An 8210-nucleotide genomic window follows, 5' to 3' on the forward strand; every position below is an offset into this window, starting at 1 on the left:
GATGGGACAGTGCAGAGTGAGATCACCTCCCTGCCCTACAGAGAAGGCATGTAGCTCTGTCTCTAGGAGTCCAGACTGGGGGAGTTAGGGCAGGGAGCCCCGTGGGGAGATCAAGCCCGGAGCATGTCCAGGGGTTGTGATGCCAGAGAGCAAGTGGTGAGCCTGCACACGCTCTCCAGGGAGCATCGCTGTTCCCCTGGCTGTCTGCTCTCTCAGGGCATTCACAGAATCTATTTCCTCCACCTCCCCATGCCCAAGCGGTAAACTGCCTGTTTCCTGGTCCAGTCACCTTTGCGGGGTTGTTCTGTGCGTGCCTGAAATCTCTCCCCAGACACTTGGCTCCGTGACTGCCTCTCACTTCCTAATCAAACTAACAGGTTTCACATCCATGTGGTCAGAGAATGAGGAGGCAGAAGTAATCAACAGCAAATTGGCCAGACAGACTCAGCCGAGATGTCTCCGGGCAGCCTAATTCAAATCGTGGGTGAAGATGGACAGAGTGGAAGAAGAGAGGCCATTGCAGGGATACTCTGGAGTGAGTTAATAAGATTAGAGACTGGCAGCATCACAGTCGCCTGAGCCCAGATTCTCTTGAGCCCAGCAGAGCACAGAGGAGATGAGGAGTTCAGTTCAGAGCAGAGGGCTCAGGGCATGCAGCCCAGCAGAGAGTGCATGCTCCCAACTTCTAAACTCACAGGTCTGAAGGACTCGCACAGAAGCTCCCTCCCCAAGTCACAGGGAAGTGTGAGGCTCCTGGAGCTGGACAGCAGCAGCAGGGCAGCTGCTCCTCCAGTGCCTATGTTGACACATCTGAGGTGCTCTTGGTACCAACCTGAATTCGAGAACTGGAAAGCAGGAGGGTTGGGTCCTAGTCCAGTTCTGCCATAGCTAACTAGCTGTCTGGTTTTCTTCAAGTCACTTTGTTTTTCTGAGGCTCGACTGACTTTACTGGCTTACTCATAAAATGTAGCTTAAAAATAATAAATGCTATCCTTTTGAACACCAATATTCTGTTACCTGAAATATAAATTCTTCTGAATTAATCAGTGGCTCAAAAGTCTCTCTTCAATATGGAGTAAACACATGGGCTCACAGATGGGTCTTGTCCATCTTGGAGTGGTCAACACAGTTGAGTTTGTGCAGGGAGAGACCTCCCAGGCCTGGAGCCAGTGACCACGGGTATCACTGAGGACTGGCTTCCTCCAGACCCGGGCCTGGTATTTCACTTGCCTTTCTTCATGCCATTGCTACAACATAGCAGCGGTTCCTAGACCAGCAGCATCTGTGGACTTGTCAGAAACGCACATTCTGAGGCCTGCTCACAAAGGTACTCTAGGTTTAACAACCCCTCCAGGTGATTCTGACATTCAAGCTGGAGAGGAGCATGGACCACTGACATGGGTCACCATGCTCAATCTTTGCTGTCTATCCAGCTCACCTGTGCAGTTACCACAATCCCACATCTGGCCTTCTCCAGTCTGAAAGGCCTGGAGTTTTGAGGTTTGAAACTCCACAGCTGATTCCAATATGCACCAAATGTGGAGGACCTCAAAACTGGCTAATTTGGGCCATCACCACAGGTGTCAGTTTTAGCCCTCACAGACATTTCTTCCACTTTCTTGAGAGTACTTTGCCAAGGAGAGGGTTACTCAGGAAAGATAGGATTTAATCTCAGGTCTGTCCAGCTATTTCCACTAAACCAGTGATTTTCAAATCCAGATTTTGGAATCAGACACATCTAGGTTCATAGGTCAACTTGGCCTCTTGCCTCTCTTAGTATCCTCATATGTACAAGATGATTTGGTCCCACATGTAGGACAACTTCAAAGAATAGAGAAGAGAGTTCAAAATTAAGCACCTGGCATGTAACAGGCACCTAATTGGAGCATGCTGTTGTTGCTAAGAATACAGGACCACCTCTGAAATATTTCACCTGTACTCAATTCAAACTGAGTTAAGAAATGTTCACCTCTAGAGATATTTGATTTTTATTTTTTCTGGAACAAGCTGTCAGAGGCGTTGGAACCAGAGCAACTCCATCTTGAATAGGGGCTGGGTAAAATAAGGCTGAGAACTACTGGGCTGCGTTTCCAGAAGGTTAGGCATTCTAAGTCACAGAAGAGCTAGGAAGTTGGCACAAGATACAGGACCTTGCTGATAAAACAGACAGCAGTAAAGAAGCCGGCCAAATCCCATCAAAACCAAGATGGCCACAAGACTGACCTCTGGCCATCCTCACTGCTACACTCCCACCAGCGCCATGACAGTTTACAGATGCCATGGTAATGTCAGGAAGTTACCCTATATGGTCTAAAAAGGGGGGCATGAGTAATCCATCCCTTATTTAGCATATAATCAATAAATAACCATAAAAATGGGCAACCAGCAGCCCTCAGAGCTGCTCTATGGAGTAGCCATTCTTTTACTTTCCTTTACTTTCTTGATAAACTTGCTTTCACTTTCTGGACTCGCCCTGAATTGTTTCTTCCATGAGATCCAAGAACCCTCTCTTGGGGTCTGGATCTGGACCCTTTTCTGGTAACAAAACCAAATAATGTTTATAGTGCTGCAAAAGATGTTGTTGATGTGTGAGATGTTGGAAGAAAGGAAGATTTAGACGGAAGCAGGAAACTCAGCTGTCACTGATTTAGACAGAAGCAGGAAACTGAGCTGTCACTGCTGTCTGCATTTAATTCCCTCAGGAGCTGATGCAGTCCAGGGTTGCTTCAGGTAGGAATTGGGAAGGGGAAAAAGCCCTGCATCCACCCCTCGCACCTCCCCAACACTCATATACCCATTGACATACCCCACATGCACACTCATGCACAAACGTACACACACACACATCCTCACACAACCTCTCTGGACTTCTTTTAGACGTTATCTATCTTCAGTTTATTTTCTTCCTCTGGAAGCCAAGTAGCATTCTCACAAAAGGTTGGAACTGAACAAAATCTGATGTCTGCATCCAGCCAGGCAAACTGGGTTTAATTTTCCTAATACAACGGCCAGGCACGGTGGCTCATGCCTATAATCCCAGGACTTTGGGAGGCCAAGATGGGGGGATCACCTGAGGTCAGGCATTCAAGAGGAGCATGGCCAACATGGTGAAACCCCGTCTCTACTAAAAAAATACAAAATTAGCCTAGCATCGTGGCAGTGCCTGTAATCCCAGCTACTCGGGAGGCTGAGGCAGAAGAATCACCTGAACCTGGGAGGCGGAGGTTGCAGTGAGCCAAGATCGTGCCATTGCACTCCAGCCTGGGCTACAAGAGCTAAACTCCATCTCAAAAAGAAAAAAAAAGAAAGAAAGAAAGAAAGAAAGAAAGAAAGAAAGAAAGAAAGAAAGAAAGAAAGAAAGAAAGAAAGAAAGAAAGAAAAAAATTTCCTAATACAGTATGTCCAGTTTGTGACATGGCTGTTAGATTTGCATTAACAACACCTCATGGGTAGCTTCCATAAGCATGGTTAGTGCCTGGGGTCATTAGGACCTCATGAAGCAGACTGCGGGCTGCTGTGGGGCTGTGCTGCAGGACAGTGTGATGATGGGGCAGCCCACTGCAGAGGGGGAGGGCTATTTGAAATATGTATCTACATGTATTTCTCCATTATTATTTTTTAAATTTAATGACAGTGAGTGTTATTGGAAGGAAAGCCTTGCGTGTGAATTGCCCAGGTCCTTGGCATTTTGAACAAAGAATTGAACAAAATGCACAAAGGAAGTAGCAGAGGAATGAAATGCAGAAACGAAGCAGAGAAAGCCGAGCTTTATTAAAGCGAGAGGGCACTCCACAAGGTGGGAGTGGGCCCGAGCAAGTGGCTCAAGGGCCCCGTTACACAGTTTTCTGGGTTTTAAGTACTCCTTTTGAGGTCCCTGTGGGCTACCCTTCATCTGGAGGAAGGATTTGGTTTATGGCTAATTAAAAGCTGATGTGAACTTGCCTACAGTCAACCCAAGGCTGGAGTGGATTTGCGGCCAATGCAGATGCAGGGATGGCCCCTGCCTGGCCCGCAGCCAATCCAAGGCACTGTCCCTTTCCATCTGAGATGTGGGGGAAGGGGGAGAATTGTAGGGAGTGTAGCCTTTGATCCTTGTTTGCCTTTGGATCTAGCTTTAGGAAATTACCACGTATTGGCTTTTGATTCCCTGCCCCCAGATCTTGGTTTCTCCCTTTGATTCAGCTTTGGGGAGGCAGAGCAAATTGGCCTTAAGTTCCCTGCATCCAGACCCTATTTTCCTGCCTCATGAGTAGGTGGGAATCCTATTGGTTTCGGTATTGATTTCAGAGTCTCAGTTCTGCCCATTCCTAGTTACTTACCCTGGGGCTCTCCCTAGGACCTTGGTGATTATCTCATCTATAACATGATAGGAATAAATTAGCTAACCACCAGCCTCAGCATTCTGTGCTGATGAGAGAGGGGGAGGAGGAAGGCCAGGAGGGGCACTGCTGCTTGGGTGGCCATGCCAGCTACTGGCAGCAGGCACGCAGGTGGCTCTCACAGCCTCTGAGGCTTCCTTCCCCTCCCGGATTGACTCCATGTTCAGTTTCTCGCAAAATGGAAAGAGCAGGGATTAGCTCAGAAACTTAGATCCATCTTCTGCTTTTGTCTTTACCTAGTGGTGTGACCTTGGGGATAGTTCTTAACTCTCCTGAGGATTTGTTTTCTCATTTGAAGGAAACATATAATTTCTGCTCCCTTCTATTTGGAATGTGCGATGACTCCATGCAGCTAAAATGCTGTGCTCATGGGGCCATCCGTGATGCTTTCTGCCCCTGGAGGAAACCCCAGGGTTCCTTCAACACCAATCTTATCACTCACTATAGGACTGTGCAAGTCTTTCTGGAAACAGATGCCTGAAACAGAATTTTCAAAGCAGCTTTTGACAACAAACATGCTCAAGGAAGTCCTTTCTGATGTCTTGGGTTCTTTTTGCTCTCCCAAAGCCATTGCTCCCAAAGTTTCCTTCACACCCTGGCCTCAGACGACAGGCTACATTGCTGCCCCTTTTTCTGCGAATGTCCGGGCTCTGCGCTTCTCATCTGCCCAGTGGGGGACGGGTCACCTCGCTGCCGGGAAGCACAGCCACACTCTCTCCTGCCTTCTCCTCCCATGCGGCGTGCTCACTTCCACATTGTGTAGGGTCCTGGCCCCATTCCTCCTCCCAGCGTCTGCTTTGGGGAAACTCAAGGGGAAGCAGTGGGATTATTTTTTTGGCAGGTGAAGCACAGCTGGCTAAAACTGATTCTTCAGCTTGAGTGGTTGCGATGCATGTTTGTCGTTTTTATCAGTTCTGGCTGCTCAGTATTTAATACACTGTGTGGCTGTACATGGGCCTTTAAGTTAAACAAATAGAAGAAATTATAAAGCAGAGGACTTTTATTTCATGGGCTGCTGGCTGAGAAAATCATAGGCAGATGTGTCGAGTTGGACTGTTTTCATCTGAAAGTCTGCTGACTTCCTCAGCTCCGATTCCTGATGTATTGTGTTTATCAGGCTTCTGTCTCTTCTCATATTTTGGGCTCTCATGAAAAAAATAAGCTTAAATGCAAGTGGCTTATGCTCACTGCCTTATTTACATTTCATCTAGATGACGTCTAGCTTTTGGCATTGAGATGTCCTTTAGAATTGAAGGAAAAAAATTAAAGCACGTATTTTACTTCTCTGATGTGTCGGGCACTGGGATAAATAACAGGGAAAGGGGTGGCTGTGACACCTGCCATGGAGGCTGGCATGGATGGTGTGGGACAGACTCACAGGCAAGGCATCACCCCCCGGAGGGCCAAGCACTGTGGTGGGTGGCAGGGGCAAACAGGAGCCATGGGCGGGCTGCTGCCGGGAGTGGTCCCTGGAACAACCCAGTAGCCCGAGGGTCTTGTCTGGGATCTTACTGAAAATGCAGCCCAGGCCCTGCTGCCCAGTGGAGCCAGAGCCTGCACTTTTCAAAGCTTCCTGTGTGATTCCTGTGCACTTTGAAGTTTGAGGAGTGCTGGTCCTGATGAAAGAAGGTCAACGTTGACAGTTATCAGATGATTGAAAAGGACCTCCCCGGGAGGCGAGGGCAGAGATGAGTCATTATGTTGGAGAAGGAGTCGGTGCTCGCCAAGCCCAGATTAGGAAAAGGAAACATCTGGTGCCAAGGAGGACGTTGCCAAAGAGCCTGGTTTGTTCTGGGAACTGCAGGAGTTTGGGGCAATGGATCAGGGACTAGCCTGGGTGGGAGAGGTGAGCAGGTGCTGGGATCCCACTGGTCCTCGAGTCACCAGATGCTGACCTAGAACGTGCTGTGGTTGGGACTGAAGCCCTGCAGCCAGACTGCCTGTTTTCCGCCCTTCGGCTGTGTGAGCTTGGGCCAGTTATGGAGCCTCTCTGTGCCTCTGTGTCCTCATATGTAGGAATAGCGGTCCTAGCAGCACCTACCCCATGGGGCTGTTCTGAGAATTCACTGGACCAATCTGTGTGAACTCTGAGTACCTCCCCACACACAGCAAGTGCTACAAAAGTGACCAGTATATTATTGGTGACTGAAGGTTGGCAAGTTGTGAGCAACATGGAGAAATTTAGTTGGTTTCTTCTTTGTTTTTGTTTCTTAATAAAAGATGTTTTGGCAATTACAGAGACAATGGAATGGAAAGAGATATTGGTGCAAGTGGAGTTTAGTGGGAAATCAGAGAACAGCAAACTCAGCTGCAGCTGCTTCTGCAATCCCCTTGGCCACATGCTTTTGATCACTCATCCCAGGACAGAGGACAAGTAGCAACATTCCCCAGCATGTCTTTGCCCCAACTTCTCTGAAGTGTCAGTAGATGTCAGACCATAAATGAAGACAGGTTTACATCTCAGAAAGACAGCGACTGTAAACAAGAAAATGCAAAGTCTGTAGAGTAGATCCATGTCCCTGGGCAGGACAAGGGCCCAGTAGCTTAGCTGGGTCTCATGCCGGCCAATGACTGTGGCAAAGAGGACTGAGAGGCCAAGCCACAGACTAGCACAGTGTCACCATCACAGGCTGGGCCTTCTAGATCTACCACTTGTCAGCCTGTGGAACTACGGGAAAGACGCTGAGCTACTCGCTCTGGATGTCTTTGTCTGGAGAGTGGGGATAACCAGGATCGGCTTGGCTGTTGGAAGAATAAATGGGGCACAAATGTCAGGGGCCTGTGTGGGCTTCAGTGGTGGGTTGGGACCAATGTCTGCCTGCTCACTTCTTGTGTTTTGTCTGAGGGGACCTAATTTGCAGACAGAGCTGAATGGGAATGGGGAGCCATTGTATTAACACTGAGCAGGCTGAAGGATCCTGGGGGTCAGCTCTGAGCAAAGCTTCTGGAGATCACGGCTTGGACAAGGAGCTTGAGACAAAGCCACATGCTTCCCACCTCCTCTCCTTGAGTCTGGGACAGTTTATGCAAGAGAAGCTGAAGGAGGGCAGGGAATGGGGTCACCTCACCCCAGCTCTCAGAGGACAGAGGGAAACACCCCCAGAGACACAGTGAATGACTTTGCCTGCATGGTCCCATGGCTGTGCACCCTGCCCCATGAGATCAGCACAGTGGTCTCTCAGAAGGAGCCCAAGAGAGAGGAGGCATTTCCTCCAGGACCACCCTGTGGAAGACAGGAGCTGGCCCCTACACCATTCTCACTGAAAAGCAGGAGCTCCCCCTTCCCCATGTGGCACTACAGCTGTGACTGATGGACTCCACACTGTTACCACTATGGCTACTGCTCAGAGGCTGTTCAGAAGGACAGGGAAGCAGTGGGGAGAGAAGGAAGAAGAACCCATTTCCTCATCCAACTAGCTAGAGCCTTCCGAGGGAAAATTCCTGCTGAACCCAAACCATTCACAGGAAACCAGCATCAGAAAAGACCATTCTGTAGCCATCATGAAGTAGGCAAAACCAAGAACCTTCCATCATTGTGTCTGAGCACAGCCAAGAACAGGAACCCTACAAGCTGTGAACATGACCACCCATCCTTAGCAACTATAGCTCCAGTCTCCCTATTCCTCGTACCCCTTGGATAAAAATCAGTGAATAACCAGTCATAGTTACTCCATGTCGTGACGATATCCACAATAGGCTCTGCTTCCTGCTTCCTTGACTACTCCGAGGATCACCCAACCTTAGCCCAGGTCCCATCACAATTTCCTCTACACCTCTTACTGGGAACATCAAGGTTCTCCATGGCCTGTAGTCTCTCCTGAGCTGCAGTAG

General features: G+C 48.8%; 3 annotated features.

Annotated features, from left to right (window-relative positions):
* Positions 14-514: an enhancer, noted in NCBI's record as "H3K4me1 hESC enhancer chr20:24093443-24093943 (GRCh37/hg19 assembly coordinates)". NCBI's record gives its function as "activates a minimal SCP1, AML or CMV promoter by ChIP-STARR-seq in naive H9 embryonic stem cells {active_cell/tissue: H9 hESC(naive)}" and the evidence as "EXISTENCE:reporter gene assay evidence [ECO:0000049][PMID:30033119]".
* Positions 4651-5360: an enhancer, noted in NCBI's record as "H3K4me1 hESC enhancer chr20:24098080-24098789 (GRCh37/hg19 assembly coordinates)". NCBI's record gives its function as "activates a minimal SCP1, AML or CMV promoter by ChIP-STARR-seq in primed H9 embryonic stem cells {active_cell/tissue: H9 hESC(primed)}" and the evidence as "EXISTENCE:reporter gene assay evidence [ECO:0000049][PMID:30033119]".
* Positions 5361-6071: an enhancer, noted in NCBI's record as "NANOG-H3K4me1 hESC enhancer chr20:24098790-24099500 (GRCh37/hg19 assembly coordinates)". NCBI's record gives its function as "activates a minimal SCP1, AML or CMV promoter by ChIP-STARR-seq in naive H9 embryonic stem cells {active_cell/tissue: H9 hESC(naive)}" and the evidence as "EXISTENCE:reporter gene assay evidence [ECO:0000049][PMID:30033119]".

The sequence above is a fragment of the Homo sapiens genome, chromosome 20, assembly GCF_000001405.40.
Source record: "Homo sapiens chromosome 20, GRCh38.p14 Primary Assembly".
Taxonomy (NCBI): domain Eukaryota; kingdom Metazoa; phylum Chordata; class Mammalia; order Primates; family Hominidae; genus Homo; species Homo sapiens.